The sequence below is a fragment of the Homo sapiens genome, chromosome 4, assembly GCF_000001405.40.
Source record: "Homo sapiens chromosome 4, GRCh38.p14 Primary Assembly".
Lineage (NCBI taxonomy): Eukaryota > Metazoa > Chordata > Mammalia > Primates > Hominidae > Homo > Homo sapiens.
Window position 1 is genome coordinate 158,803,027 of NC_000004.12, and position 16,568 is coordinate 158,819,594.

The 16,568-nt window shown below is 39.6% G+C and overlaps 1 protein-coding gene across 12 annotated transcripts in view, besides 1 other annotated feature; it reads left to right on the forward strand.

The window, feature by feature from the left end:
* Positions 1-16,568, forward strand: part of FNIP2 (folliculin interacting protein 2) — a 139,025-nt gene that overhangs the window by 34,001 nt on the left and 88,456 nt on the right. For 8 of the 12 annotated variants that reach the window (NM_001366843.1, XM_017008487.2, NM_001323916.2 and 5 more), the window contains exon 1: positions 2,813-3,397. The exons of the other annotated variants lie outside the window; for them this stretch is intronic. In NM_001366843.1, coding sequence (NP_001353772.1) covers positions 3,222-3,397 — 176 coding nt within the window. In that variant the 5' untranslated portion in view covers positions 2,813-3,221. Of the gene's footprint in view, positions 1-2,812; positions 3,398-16,568 lie in introns of those variants that run through there. 12 annotated transcript variants of the gene reach the window in all.
* Positions 7,831-8,125: a silencer, noted in NCBI's record as "tiled region #12747; HepG2 Repressive non-DNase unmatched - State 6:EnhF". NCBI's record gives its function as "represses a minimal TATA promoter and a strong SV40 promoter by Sharpr-MPRA in HepG2 cells {active_cell/tissue: HepG2}" and the evidence as "EXISTENCE:reporter gene assay evidence [ECO:0000049][PMID:27701403]".

Consider the following 16,568-nt stretch of genomic DNA (forward strand, 5'->3'; position numbering starts at 1 on the left):
CTGTGGTCCTCCCTTCCAGTGTCTTAGAAAGTTCATCAGTTTTGTGAAAGTAGCAGTGGTGGCAACAGCAGTTCCAGTCAACAACCTATTGAACCGCATGTGGAATGTGGGAGTCTAGTCAGTGATTGCAGACACTTTTGTAAATGTGTAAACTTTGGATAACCCAAATTATCTTCTATGATACATGGATGAACTGTAGAAAGGAAATAGATAACTTGGCCATGTGTAGGGTTACAAATAGGGTGGATGATAAATTGTAATATGCATAGTATTTAATATTTAAGAGCAGGCACCCAGCATGATAATGAATAACAATGTGAATACCTCTCTAAGTGTGTAATTACATTTTAGGAAAGTGAAGATCGAGAAAAAAGGGAGATTGGATTGAGGGAGAGAACAGACTCTTAAGCATAAAAGATCTACACATACCTCCTCTTAGTTACTCTCTGAGTTGCTCTAATGTCTCAGAAGAGTGGTTGTGATGATACAATTATGCTTTTTCCACTTACTGAAGAAATTTTAGAGCTCCTATTTAAACATAAGGAAATTTGAAGTCATGTAGAGACATCCCCTTTAACATATAATAGTTGTGGTTTTTTCATATCTACCCTATTACATTTTATCAGATTTTGAACTGTGGAATTAAGGCTTATTAGTTGGGTAACAGAGGAAATGGCATTTTCACTTTTAAAAAAATCTAAAAATCCTTTCTGTTAAGATATCATGTTGGTCTCACTGATTGGAGTGATCCCAAGATATTAAAAGCCTCTATGGGAGCTTTTGCTATAGTAAACGAGGGAAAGGGAGAAATGGAGTGTGAGTGTATAAGCACCCTCCTGATCAGACTGTATGCATCTGACTATCAAAGAAGCACACTGCTTGTTACAGTTAGATTCATATCATAGTTTTTGTTTTGTTTTGTTTTGTTTTTAGGTGGAGTCTCGCTGTGTTGCTCAGGCTGGAGTGCAGTGGCACGATCTCAGCTCACTGCAACCTCTGCCTCCTGAGTTCAAGAGATTCTCCTGCCTCAGCCTCCGAGTAGCTGGGACTATAGGCATCCACCACCACACCTGGCTAATTTTTTTGTATTTTTTTAGTAGAGACGGGGTTTCACCATGTTGGTCAGGCTGGTCTCAAACTCCTGACCTCAAATGATCCGTCCACCTCAGCCTCCCAAAATGCTGGGATTATAGGTGGGAGCCACCGCACCTGGCCCATATCATAGTTTTAATGCAAATATTTAGTGTTATTAAACCAATCAGAAAGTATCTGATGGACATCTACCATGGATAAAACCTGCATGAGGTACAAAAATGAATGTCAAGACCCAGACTAATATGCAAATAATTTATAATCTAGTTAGGATCGTAAGAGATGTATTATACACTTTTTTTTTTTTTTTTTGGACACAGGGTCTCTCTCTGTTGTCCAGGCTGGAATGCAGTGGTGCGGTCATAGCTGACTGCAGTCCTGAACTACTGAGCTAAGTGATCCTCTCACCTCAGCTTCCTAAGTAGCTGGGACTACAGGCGCATGCCACTACTCCTGGCTCATTTTCTAATTTTTTGTAGAGATGAGGTCTTGCTATGTTGCCCAGGCTGGTCTTTAAATCCTGCTTCAAGTAGTCCTCTCGCCTTGGCCTCTCAAAGCACTGCGATTATAGGCTTGATCTACAGTAGTTTTCATAGTGCTTGTATAAGTAATCTTTTGGTTCTCTGTTAAAAAGAGAAAGTGACTTTAAAGGCAGTTTATGGGAAGAAAGAACTCATGATCAGTGGCCATGTCAGTTCTAAGCTCAAAATGTGTTCTTCTTGGAGAAAGGAATTCATTTTCTCCTAATCTGGTTTTATCTTGATACTATCAATTTAGCATGTGCCACAGAGAATTCAAGTTGTCATATGTGTGTTGCAATTTTTATTTCTCAGGAGAGGGTGAATTTCAGCTATTTTTTGAGTTTATTTTGAAGGAATTTTAGGGATTATATATATAAGATTGTCTTAAGGTAATTGAAGGCCCTGCCATGACATTAGTTTTTCTCACACTCATGGAGTGAAATGTGTGGATACCGTACATTAAAAGTAATGGCAAAAACCGCAATTACTTTTGCACCAACCTAGTACAAAGGTGCATTTAAAAATTGCTGAAGCCAAAGGACCAGACAAGAGTTCATCAGGTTTTAGGAATCCATTAATGTTTTCTTCACCAAATTCCAGGACTAAGAAAAGGAAAAGAATTGGGGCAATCCCTTGTAGTTTTGTATGTAAAGATTTGACCTGTATTCCAGGGATCTTGATTTTTATTTCTAATAAAAGAAAAATGTTTTCTTCGTGAACCCACAGAATCATATTGATTCTGTAGCATTGTTCTCCTTTTTCAGATGAAGAATATTAGTGTCAGAAGTCAAAATTGAGCTGCTTTTGTCCTCAGGTTGGGCTTTCTCATTTGAATATGCCTAGGAATTCAGTGCAAGAGTTCTGAGGGTTTATGGCTGCTCGTTATCATTTTTTTTGCTTGTATTAAAGCAAGGATATATCCCTAATCTGTGTCCCACCTCCCCTTGTCATCTATACATTAAGTCCTACATTTGGCTGTTGTGGGTAACCATCCCTCACTTGCTGTGGGTAGAATTTTGCAAGATTGCAGAGTAAGACCTGTCAGCTGACACTGGCTCACATGAGAGCCATTAAGAGGGTGGTGTGGCCAATGTCAGAACAACCTTGCAGCTGAAGGCAAGTCACTGCATTGCCCAGAGCCATATGAACAGGTCTTGTGACCAATTAATTGACTACTACATAATCTCCAGCTAGGGTGCACAGATGGAGTGAGTCAGTCCAAGCTGCTCAACCTGTTAAATGTCTTTTCTTTGCTAACTGGAGTATAAGCTTAAGAACAAAAGTAGGACTTGTCTATGTTTGTAATGGGATTGCAGACAGCGTGTTTTGTAATGTGATAGATGGATCTGACTTCCTAAATTATTGGCAGGCTTAATTTACGTAACAAATGAATGTTCCACCTTTTTTTTTTTTTAAACCTTTGAAAGGGGAAATTAGTACACTGCTGTCAAGTAGCTTTTCTCACATACTGTATAGGGAGTGAAATGATTGTTTAGAACTGCTGGTCATTACAGAATGTTCCTCACATAACAAAGGAACTTCAGGATTTGTCTCCAAGTCCATGTTTATGGTCAGGATAAACCAGAAGAACATTAAACCGTTCAGGAGATGTGCGGCGGCACAGCGAACACCACAAACCAGCCAGAGAGCTGGCAAGACTCTGCCAGATGTGTGAGTGATGCTGTTCCTGGTGCTGGGAGGATTTACAGGGCGCTTTTATGCACAAAGATTAAAAAACACACCGGAGTAGACAGGAGCACTGACCACACGGAACTCGACAACAGGTTTGAAACTTTAGTTGTTTCAAAGTCTCAGATAATTTTTTATTTAATTTACTGTGTAGTAAGGAGATGGAATTGTATTGATCTGAAAGTTGTTGTTTCTCATAAGTGCTTCTAAGTAGGAGAAATGGGGTTATTGGTGGATGTGCAGAGTCAAGTCCCTTCTCTTACAGAAGAGATGTAAGCATGGGTATTTTTTAGTGACTATTGTGACTTCACTACCCATCTGTTTTCTTCTTTTCATTACCTCTACTGGAGCCAACTTATAAGAAGTGTGTACATCTTTGTCCCATGAAGCTTGGATGAAACTGTTCACAGTAATTATCAGGAAAAAAAGGTGCCGTCCTGAAGTAGCAGCACAGTTAGTAGATGGGGCTCAGGCCTGGGCGTTTTCACTTCATAGTCTGCGTGGCAGCCAGGTGGTTGTGCTTTTCCAGTTGGAAGCAGGGTGGTCGGGGTGACCCAGTCTTCCTCTGGAAGACCCTTTCCATGAGAAGGATGTTATGAACAGCAAATTTTAATAATGGAGCTTGTCTAAAAAGAATAGCATACTTATAATATTCTTTTTGGTTTATTTCATCCACGTTCTTCCGTTAATAAATTTGGAAGAATTTATTAATTTTATTATTAGTGGTACTTAATTGAAATGCTATTTGTAAAGAATTTTATTGCATATCAATAAAAACAAAAAACTGTTTTGAGAATTACATTTCATTCCAGATTCTTCCATAGATAGATAGTAAGGAGAGCTAAAAGTTAATGATTAGTGTAAAAGCAAGTTTATAAGTGCATTTAACTTGGGCATGGTGGCTTAAACCTGTAATCCAAACACTTTGGGAAGCTGAGGTGGGAGGATCACTTGAGCCTAGGAGTTCAAGACTAGCCAGGGCAATGTAGCAAGACCCCATCTCTACAAAAAAATTTTAAAAATAATTAGCAGGGCATGGGGGCATGCAACTGTGGTGCCAGTTACTTGGGAGGCTGAGGTGGGAGGATCGCTTGAGCCCAGGAGTTGTAGGCTGCAATGAATTGTGATTTCACCTCTGTACTCCAGCCTGGGCAACCGAGCAAGACTCTGTCGCTTTAAAAATAATAATAATAAAATAAATTCACTTAAAACATTTTTTTCTTACAGAAATTTTCTCAAAATTAACATATCTCATCAACTTTATCCCATAAGTATGCTTCTTAGTTTGGTTAAAAATAATCAGGATATAGTTTTTGTCACGTAAAAATCTTTGTCATTTTTTAATAGAAACAATAAAACAGGGCAACAGAGTGACACTTCTATCTCTAAAAAAGAAAAAAGAAACTTAATAAAATGGGATGTAGTCCATTACAGCGTAAGAGCACAGTAGACCGGAGAGTGAGAGAGAAGTGAGGAAGTTATTTTACAAGTGTTAGGTCACATGCTTTTCATTCAGTTAAAGAGATCTGTTTGTAGAGGAGGAGGTAATGATATGGTACATTAGAAAAATACATTTGAGTGTTCAGATAAGAATTTCACTTTTATACTATCTGTTTTTATCTGTTTCTTATCAAGAAAGGGCAGCTGAGTGATAGGAGAGAGTAACGGAGTGACACTCAAGTTTATCTGAATCTTGATCCCTAGCTCTGCTGCCCAGGAGCCTCTAACCCTGGGCCAGTCTCCAGGCTTTTCTTAATCTCACTCTCAACTGTTAAACTATGTAATTGGCTCGGATTATTTTAAAAATTCTTTCTTCTTCTGAGATTCTTAGATGTAGTAGTAGGGCCTTCTGTATTCCGTATTTTTGTTATTCTATAGAATTCTAGATCCCCAGATAGTTATTTAGGATGAAAGATGGGGATTGAATGTCCATGTAAGGACATAATATGCAGGGCCAATTTTTTAAAAACCTCTAAAATTTTTGATATGAGCTGCTGCTTCTCACCTTCGAAGTGATGCTTTAAATTTTAACATTTTCATACCTGTTATCCTCTTTCCTTATTTTAACTTCCTTTAGATTTACTTCTCTAGTGCTGAGAATTTTTTTTTTTAGAACTTTGTACAATGATGACATATTTGTCAATTAATTGGAATTCATCTCTAGTCAGACAATGTGCTGTAGTAGACCTCATCTGCTTTCTCTTCTCCTTTCTACGATCTTGGAAACATTGCTTACTTGCAGTATTGTGCTTGGTTTCCAGAACTTCTTTAGGACTTGGGCCAACTTGAGGGTAGAAGTGAATTATTGACAGGCGCTTGCACTGAAGGACCTGGCTCCAGAGTGCTCACAGTTATCTGTTTGTCCAAGTCATATGGCAGTCAGGTAGGTAGGACTTCCAATCTCTTTTTGCTCTTTGATATCTTAAATCAGTCGTTCCAAGTGGTCTTCTTAGTTGAGCACACTGACAAGCAGGGGTTTTGTTTTTTTTTCTTCTCATGATTTTCCAGTAACTGAAAAGATGAAGAGAAAGATTCCACAATTACAGTAGAATCACGTTGTATTATGTGATGATGGCCACAGTGTAAAACAGACGGAAACAGTGCAGAAAGAAACATGTTGGTTGTCTCATTGCGGTTCATGTAGCATGACACATTTCAGGATAGGAGTTGTCCTCTGCATCTCCATTTCCATTCCCCCTAACCTCTATAAAGGCAGATGTTGGGGTTCAATTCATTTCACAAAATTCTAGAGTCAACAAAAAACTACCAAGTTTGATGAGAGGCATCTTAAATGGCTTGTCAGTAAAAATTCCTTGCTAAAACTCCCTTCAAATCTAGTGACTCTTTGCTGGGCATGGTGGCGTTCATGCCTGTAATCCCAGCACTTTGGGAGGCTGAGGTGGGCAGATCACTTGAGGTCAGGAGTTCGAGATCAGCCTGGCCAACATGGTGAAACCCCATCTTTACTAAAAATACAAAAATTAGCTAGATGTGGTAGCAGGTACCTGTAATCCCAGCTACTTGGGATGCTGAAGCAGGATAATCACTTGAACCTGGGATGCAGAGGTTGCAGTGAGCCGAGATCGTGCCACTGCACCCCAGCCTGGGCAACACAGCAAGACTCCATCTCAAAAAAATAAAATCTAGTGACTCTTAAATATGATGCCAGGTATATGGTATCATCCTCAAATAATTGCTTTCAATCCTCTTTCTTAAAATATTGACTATAGCAAAGCTGCCAACAACTTTTGAGTTTTTCAAACTTTCCCGGCAAATTAGCAAACAAAATTCTTACGGCTGTTTATATGAGAAATCTGGGACTTGCCACACATATTTGTGAATCATTGTTGCTCTGGTGGCAAGAGAAAACTTGCCATGTCTTTAAAGTATACCCCTTACACACTGAAAAGGAACTGAAACAGAGCACTTCAGAGTCAATTGTGCTTTACAGTTTCATATCTTGAAATTTGAATTCAGAAGAAATTCTCTGTACTGCTTTAGAATCACCAGGATGATTCTAAATGAGTATATCCATTTTATGTACATTTTTAGATGAGATAATTCTATTAAAAAAGGGAAGTCCTTAGATTGTCTGTGGTAGTTACTTAACAAGAAAGTAAGTACAGAAACTTGAGTGCATTGTTCCCTGGTGAGCTGCTTCACATAGATAAGCTGACCATGATTTTATGACCAGTCTTTATTTATAGCAGTTGGGATTACTGACTAGGAAATATAAAAATAGTCACAGATTTAGAGAGAGATATGCTAAGGCAACAGACCAAAGAATTCTGAAGAGTATAATAAAAGGTCATTAAAAGTAAGCGTAATGCAGGTTTGTAGGAATGGAAAGAATGTTTCTCACTGCTGCTCCTGGAAACAGTGTGAAAACCACTCTACCCTGATGCTACTTAATAGAAAATGTAGCAGTTGGACAGGTTGAATGAAGTGGGTAGAGAGAAAAAACAAACCCTAGTCAGCTGATGGTCTTGTGCTTTGTGACAAGCTTCACAGAGAGGTCGTAAATGGTTGGGTGTGACTCTGATGGGTTGGGTATTGTGGTCACACGTTCTTCTGCGCTTCCTGCATTCCTTCCCTTTTTACTGATTTTTACGTACCATGAGAATTTTTCTTTGACTAGTTAGAAGAGTTTATTTCTGCTGGCTGAGGGTAGAGATTTTGAGATATAATTCCAGACTGATAAGAGTGAATGAATCAAGGAATGCAGTGTTGTGTCTGATTTAGGGTTCAAGAACATTTGTCTTTTCCCTCTGAGGATACATCACTTACTAGGAATAAATCAGCAATCTTAATATAGGAGATTTTCATAGACGCTAACAACTGACATCAGCTTTTGTCTCGGTCATATTTGGATAAGCATTGATGACATAACAGGGTAAAGCACTTGTTATTAATCACCATAGCTAACTGTGTCCAGAATGACAGTGTTCCAGGCAGAAGATGAGGTTAATCCAGCTCTGGAGTCTGCAGGCCAGTCACTGACTGGGCAGCTTCTGAAGCCTTTTTTCCTCAAGTTCTGCTCAGCTCTGTGCTGAAGCGGAATGCTGGCTGAACTGGTCCCCACATCCCTGGTTCTCCTGTTATGACTCCTGTGGTGAGTCAGGCTCTGGCTTAGCCTTATCCTTTTATTGTTACAGTAACAAAAGCCAAATAATTGCTGAACAGTGATGTAGCAAGCCCTGGTGGGAATTGGAGAGAGCAATAACTTGTGACCCATCTAAGATTATAACTGTCAAAAGTCACCAAAGAGAATCCACCCTGTGGGTTATAAAAACACCCAAGGTTCCTGGGAATATTCTTATCTTTTATGAGTTCCCAAGGGGATATTTAGGTATCAGGTGTACACCCATCCATCAGCCTTATGTCTTTAAGGGTTTAAGAAAGGTTTTTTAAAAAAACTACTTTAGGTTTTTACAGAACAGATGTGAATGAAAATCCTTTTTTCTCACTATGCCATATCCTTTCACTTTCATGCCTCACCCTGTCCAAAGGCAGAAAAAGGAACTTAGTTAAGCTATTTTCCCACTTACTGATTTTCAGCTCTAGCATATGAGAACCTAGACTTAATACCAGATAAAATGGAAGGGACTTTGACTTGGGGATCTTCTCTACCCTGATTTTATGATCTGAGGGTCTTCTCTGCCTTAAAATCAGTGTCTTTGGGCACATCATTTCATCTCTCTGTTTTTGTTTTTTAAATAATATTAATTAATAATAATAATGATGGTAGATTGGAATGGTGTTTCCTGAGCCTCAACTTCAGATCCACTGAACCGAATTCCTAGAGGTAGAGCTTGTGAAGCTTTGTTGATTACACACACACACACAAACACACACAAAACTTCTGGGGTAATTCTAACAATGAGCCAAACAACTTGGAACCAGTGGACAGGTAGTGTCTGAAGTCCCTTCCAGCTAACATTCTGATAATCTGTCAGTGATCCATGAGTCCCGAAGTTAGAGAAATATAAAGGCTGGGCCTTGGGTAATCAGGGGAGTTAAAACTAGCTCAGTGGTAATCTTTTCCCATGTGAGCGAACAAGCCACGCGGGTGTTTGAGGAAGTACATTTTCAACAGAGAGAACAGGAAGTACAGAGATCTTAAGGCAGGAACATGCCTGGTGTGCATCCTAAAAAGAATATTGCCTCAGGGCAAAGATGATTTGGATTCAGAAAGTAAATGATCCTTCGTGGGAATGTGAATGGGGTGGAGGTGTACTGGTGGATGGTTTAGCGGCTGCACACTGTGATATGAGAGGGAGGCAGAGGTCACTGCCCCTAATATCTTTCCCACTGGACCTTGCTTGATGGCAAAAACTCCTATTATTAAATTCTCATTTCTTTCTATTTAAGCATTATTCTCTCTAGGCAGTAACTAATGTCTTACTGTGAACTATCTTAGGGGAACATTCCCCTCTGTCAGTAGGAGCAAGACCACATGTGACAGTTGGGTACATTCTGTAGAGCAGTGTGTGAGGACTGACCCTCCTTTTTCCAGCCGGGTAGATAGAACAAGGAGGAGACGGCCTGTAATTCTGCTGAACAGGGACAGACTTGATAGCTACATCTGAAGCTCAAGTTATGTGTCCTTGGTTCTCATCTTTACAGGGTATTCTGTAGCTGACTGTAACAGACAAAAGTGATCTTCAGAAAATAATCCTGTCACAAATTTTTAAACCAGTGCTTATTCCTGAAAGTTTCTATATCTTAAAAGTTCCTTTGACAACTGAAATTAAAAGAATTTTTTCCTTCAAAAAAATTTTAGAGCAGTTTTAGGTTCACAGCAACATTAAGCAGAAAGTACAGAATTCCCATGTACACCTTGCCCCCACAGTATCAACATCCCACACCACAGTGATATATTTGTTACCACTGAGGAATCTGTATTGACACATCTTTATCACCCAAAGTCCATAGTTTGCATTAGGGTTCATTCTTGGTGTTGTGTATTCTATAGGTTTTGACAAAAGTATAATGACATGTATCCACTATTCATACTAGATAGTTTCACTGCCCTAGAAATCCTCTGTGCCTTGCCTATTCATCCTTCCCTCCCTCTCTAACCCCAGGCAACCACTTGTCTTTTTACTGTCTCCATAGTTTTGCCTTTTCCAGAATGTCATTTGATTAGAATCATACAGTATGTACCCTCTTCAGATTGGCTTCTTTCACTTAGAAATACACATTCAAGGTCCCTTCATGTCTCTTCGTAGCATGGTAGTTCATTTCCTTTTTAGCACTGAATAATATTCCATTGATTATCTCTTTGCGTACTGAAGGATGTCTTGGTCGCTTCTATGTTTTGGCAATTATGAATAAAGCTCCTATACACAGCTGCAGGCTTTTCAGCTCATTTGGATAAATAACAACAAGTCCCTTTGCTGGATTGTAAGGTAAGAGTATGTTTAATTTTGTAAGAAACTGCCAAACTCTTCCAAGACAACTGCACCACCAGCAATGGGTGAGAGTTTCTGTTGCTCCACATCCCCACCAGCATTTGGCATTGTCAGTGTTCCAGACTTTGGCCATTCTAATAGGCATGTAGTAGTATCTCTTGTTGTTTAAATTTCTGTTTCTCTAATGACATACAATGTGGATCAACTTTTCATATGCTTATTTGCCATTTGTATTATCGTTGGTGAGGTGTCTATTCAGGTCCTTTGCCCATTTTTTCATCAGTTGGTTTGATTTCTTACTGAGTTTTAACTGTTCTTTATTTTGGATAAAACAGTTCTTTATCAGATATATTTTTTGGGAATATTTTGTCTCAGTCTGTGGCTTGTCTTCTCATTCCCTTGACAGTGTCTTTCTTAGAGCAGAAGTTTTTAATTTTAATGAAGCCCAGCTTCTCAATGATTTCTTTCGTAGACCACGCCTTTGGTGTTGTATCTGAGAATCCTTCGCCATGCTCAAGGCTGTCTGTATTTTCTCCTGTGTTGTCTTCTGTGAGTTTTGTAGTTTTGCTTTTTACACTTAGGCTTGTAAGCCATTTTGGGTTTATTTTTGTGAAGGATGTAAGGTCTGTGTCGAGATTCTTTTTTTTGCACCTGGATGTCCAGTTATTCCAGCACCATTTGTTGAAAAGACTGTCTTTGCTCCATTGTATTACTGTTGCTCTTTTGTCAAATATTGATTTATATTTATGTGGATTTTTTTCTGAAGTCTCTATTCTGTTCCATTGATCAGTTTCCCTATTCTTTTGTCAATGCCACACTTCCTCCTTCTCCTCCTCCTTTTCTTCCTCCTCCTTCTCCTCCTTCTTCTTTTAAGAGATGGAGCCTCACTCTGCCCAAGCTGGAGTGCAGGTTTTTACACCTCAGAAGGACATGCAGAGGAAGGTCCTGGAAGGAAGAGAATGTTATCCTAACTTGTTTGCTACTGGTATCAAGGTGATAGTGCAGTCGAGTTGGATGAGCACAGAATTTAGAGCCAGGAGACTGATTTTAGTCCTGACTTAGCCACTTACTGGACATAACCTTGTTAAAGTCTCCTAACTTCCGTGTAAAACGTTATATAATACAGACTCTCACAGGACATTTGAGAAGGTCAGCTCAGTTGAATTCTGTAAAAGTGTTTGGTAAACTCTAAAATATTAGGCAATTATTTGTGCATGTGCTGTGCAGTTCTTATCACCAGCCTTCCCCTGCCTACATGCAAACACCAGACCTTCTGGAATTGGTGTCTCTAGGCTCTGCATGAATTATGCAGTAAAAAAGGCAGTTATTTAATATGATGGGAATCCATCTGATACACCACTAGAACAGCAATCATAAACTGAAAGACATACATGGGTTTAATCAATGAGAAAAGGGGTTGCTTTTTTAGAGAGAAACTTTCTCCTGTCTTTGGGGGAGGGAGGGGATGAAGGACAGGAAAATGTAGTGTACAAGTGTTGAGAAGAAAGCTCAATAAATGCCATTGTCTAGGCCAAACTACATATTTGAAAACTGAATCTGAATGCCTGGAATTCATTAAGGTGGTTTCCCTGTAGGAGTTCACCCACTGCCTCATGCTTTAGCTACCAAGAAGCCTCTTAAAGGAAACAGTAGTTAAGGGCTTGTCTTAAAGCAATGATAGATTCTTTGGGTTTAAAAAAATAGGGTGTTCCTGTTGTAGTCCTCATCTTTGTTGTTTGTTTTTACTTTTTCAAGAGACAATACAGTCACACGGCTTAATATTCAAAAGGCACAAAATTGTGGTGCATGTTTAGAGCACAGTCAGCGTGCCTGACTCCGTGTTAAGTGCTTTACATTTAGTCACCAAAACAGCACTTGTAAGGTTGGTACTATTATATTATCTCCATTTTGCAGATGAGGCTGTTGAGGAACAAAGAGATTAGGTAACTCACCAAAGTTACATAGCTAGGAAGAGGCAGAGGTAGGACCTGAGCCCAGGATGTCTGGGTCCAGTCTACACTCCTTCTCACTATGCTGTTTTGATGGATGTTTATTACATGGTGCAGAGAAAGCCTTTCCCTTTGCTCTGTAAAGAGTGTAGAATGAAAAGTCTTCTGCTTTCTTTTTCATCAGTAATCCAGCTTTTTTTTTTTTTTTTGAGACGGAGTCTTGCTCTCTCGCCCAGGCTGGAATGCAGTGGCGCCAGCTCCGCTCACTGCAAGCTCCGCCTCTCGGGTTCACGCCGTTCTCCTGTCTCAGCCTCCCGAGTAGCTGGGACTACAGGCGCCCGCCACCACGCCCAGCTAATTTGACGGGGTTTCACGTGTTAGCCAGGATGCTCTTGATCTCCTGACCTCGTGATCCGCCAGCCTCGGCCTCCCAAAGTGCTGGGATTAGAGGTGTGAGCCACCGCGCCCGGCCCAGTAATCCAGCTTTCTACTCCAGAGTCAACTAGTATTACCAATTCATTGTTTTTCTTCTAGAGATAGTCTATACGTGTATAATAAAACCCAGAGTTCTTTACCTCCAATTTTTCCTTTTTCTAGACTTATGGTAGCTTTCTATACACAATATTTTATACTTATTTTCGTTCCAGTCAAAAATATGTCTTGGAGTTTATTACATACTTACCTAAGGAGCTTCCTTATTCTTTGCTGTGTCAGTATAGCACTCCCTTGTATGGATGTACCATAATTTATTTAATCATCCTGCTGACAATTTGTTTCCAAACAGTGCTGCAGTCATTACCTTTTTGTACATAATCATTTTGTGCCTGTGCAAATTAATCTGTAGGATTCATTCCTAGAAGTGAACTTGCTGGGTCACGAGTATATATATATATATTTATTTTAACCTATCTCTTTTAGAGATAGTATTTTACAACCCAAAATAGGTGACAATTGTCTATTTATTTTGGTTCTTTCATCTTGCAAACGAGAGACCTTACACAGAGAATCATGCTTTTGACCTCTGGAAACTTCTTGGAAAATGGAAGTATTACCTTATCTGCATACGGTTTAATTAGATCTAGAAGTGAATAACATATAAGGCAATGTCTTGGGTATTTACTTTGAAATTTATTCCGTTGTCTATTATTAGTATATGATTTCCCAAAATGAGGGAGGGGAAAGATATGAAATCATCTTGATGCATGTTACCTTTTATAATTGCAGACCAATATGTATTTCAGTAATCCAGGAATATAATAATGTGTTGACGGCTTTGATTATGCTGACAAGGGTGTAAAAGAATTAGCTCGGCCAGGCGCAGTGGCTCATGCCTGTAATCTCAACACTTTGGGAGGCCAAAGCAGGCGGATCAGTTGAAGTCAGGAGTTCGAAACTAGCCTGGCCAACATGCTGAAACCCCCTCTCTACTAAAAATACAAAAAAATTAGCCAGGTGTGGTGGTGGGCGCCTGTAATCCCAGCTACTTGGGAGGCTGAGGCAGGAGAATCGCATGAACCCAGGAGGTGGAGGTTGCAGTGAGCCGAGATTGCACCACTGCACTCCTGCCTGGGAGACAGAGTGAGACTCTGTCTCAAAAAAAAAAAAAAAAATTAGCTCAGTGATTATTGAATTAATATATGCATGGAGATGAACAGTAAAGCTCTTTTTTTTTTGTCAGTTTGGCTATTTTTAAGTACAAGTAGTTTCTAGTTTATAGATATCAGAAAAGAATAAATAATGTGCATTTAAGAATTAAGGGAACCATTTTGGGGAAAAATGGGCCATTTATAGAGATTCTATGGGGGTTTTTTGTTTTGTTTTTGTAGAGTCAGAATCTCACTATATTGCTCAAACTCCTGGATTCAAGCGATCCTCCTGCCTTGGCCTCCCAAAGTGTTGAGATTACAGGCATGAGCCACTGCACCTGACCTCTGTGGGTTTTTTAAGCAGAAAAAAGGAAGGAACTATTAATAACAGCAACAACAACATCAGAAGGCAAGGGGCAGAGTCTTGACTGCCACAGTGACCTGCCCACTCAGTGTCCCTCTCACCTCAAAAGAACTTGTACTTTTCTCCTTCAGATTTTGTGAGCACCTTTTGAAAGTTCTGTTGATTAGAGTTGTGTTGATATTAAGATGCTTATCAAAGACAGATTATGTTTAGCAGGTTTAAGGGATACCATGTAGTAATAATGTAGGTTAATTCATTAAGATTGCTTTCCTTTTCGTACCTGGCTGAGATCATCTATTCTAAATCACACTGTGCACATTTAATAGATAACTTGGGATTATAATATGTTAGAATTGGAAGCACCAGACCTTTAGGTATAATTTTAGTCCCACCCCATTTCCCATTTTTTCTTTTTTCTTTTTTCAGACAGTGTCTCACTCTGTCGCCCAGGCTGGAGTACAGTGGTGTGATCTCAGCTCACTGCAACCTCCGCCTCCCGGGTTTAAGCAATTCTTGTGTCTCAGCCTCCCCAGTTAGCTGGGATCACAGGCGCCCACCGCCATGCCTGGCTAATTTTTATACTTTTAGTAGAGATGGGGTTTCACCATGTTGGCCATGCTGGTCTCAGACTTCTGGCCTCTGATCTGCCTGCCTCGGCCTCCCAAAGTGCTAGGATTACAGGCATGAGCCACCATGCCTGGCCCCACCCCTTCCTTTTATAGAGGAGGAGACACTGGATTAAGAGGTGAAGAAGTGACTGAGATGGGACTGTGGGATGGCTGCCTCCAGCCTAGGCAATCTGACATCCCGTGCAGTGCTCCGCTATTTTGTCTATGCTGTGGTGGCCCCAGGGCAGTGGCATGTGGGTAGTGGTGCTGTAAGTGCCACACACAAACTTCATCTGTTTTAGAGTTTCACTTGATGTGATCCTGAACTCAGAAAGGAAGGAAGAAATTCTGTCTTTTCCTCTCTGTACTTTGTAGTTCCTTGTTCATAGCACCCAAACCTTAGGCTGTATTGTGACACATACGATAATGTTTTGTCACTGCCGTGTGAACACATTATTTAAAGACTTATGTGGTTTTAACTTGTGACCTTTGCTACCATTTACATATTGTTTTAGTGGCAAGGAGGGGGAAAACAAGTTCAGAGCTACAACTAACCTACTTACACATAAACTTTTGGCTGTTATTTTTGTTAGAGATCAGTTATATTCAGGAAAATATGGGGAACCTGAAAGTTATTTCAGTCTTTTGTCCTTTTCTCAGACATGGTAATCACTAAAGTGATCAACAATGCTTTATCCTATAATTCCAAAATCCTAAAATTTCTGGAAAATCTTTTGGAATTAATCTGAACTGATGTGAGGCTGTTTATAGTCTCTATCTAATCCACTTAGCATAAGTATTCATAACTTGGGCTGGTGAAATATTAATTTGTTTGTTTTGGGGGTTTGATTACATCTCAGCCCCTGGAGGAAGTATTATGTAATATGTAGTGTAGCATCTTTCTGATTTCTAAAAAAAATTCTGAATTCTGAAACATCTAGCCCCAAGGCTCTCAGTTAAGGAATTGTGTATCTGAGTAGATCTTTGAATTATGCTCTACAGCTTTAAAAGTGCTTTCATAACTTAATCTCTGTTTTTCCCAACAGCCTTGTGAGGTAGATAAGGCAGATGCATTTTGGGAAAGCTCAGCGCTAGGGTTGGAGCATTCTAAAATCATCTGGGTTGAAGGCAGCAGAGCTAGAGTTAGAAGCCCTGTTTACCCTGGTGAATCCTAATCCGTGTCCCAAGCATCATGTCTTCTGTGACTCACATCCATCACTCACCCAACTGTGTGGACTTGACCTCTTTATCCTGTAGAGTCCCCATAAGTCCCTATAGACATTTATCTTGGCACCTGTAAAAATATAGTTAACTTAATATTTATATGTTGGCCTTTCCCTTCCCAGTTGTAAGCATATTGAGGTAAATACTGGATATAGTTAATTTCTGTTCCTGGTACCTTTCATGGTGCCTGTGTGAAGCCACACACTCAAAGGTGTGCAGAAGGAATGAACTCAGAAGTATGGTTCCATGCTTTTGCTGCTGATCAAACATATTTATTCTTTCATTCCACATTTTCCTTTACAAAAGGAATAAAGGATTTACATATCACCTACTTTCTTAAAGATGGAAGAATTGTAACCAACATGCAGTATAGCTCTGTGTTGGTAATATAACAGTGGACTACATTTAATTGGAATTGTTTGTAAATTAATATTAATATCTTTATGTTATCAATATATATTAAAGCTTCTGATAAGAACTTTAAGCACTTTTCACTATACTCCTGACCACAGGATAGCAACTCAGTGGTGATTTTTTATGCAGTTCCACTGAAATTGCTCCAGGCAATTCACACAGCTGAGGCTGTATAAGTGCAAAATAGGGGAAGAAAGGAGAGCCAAC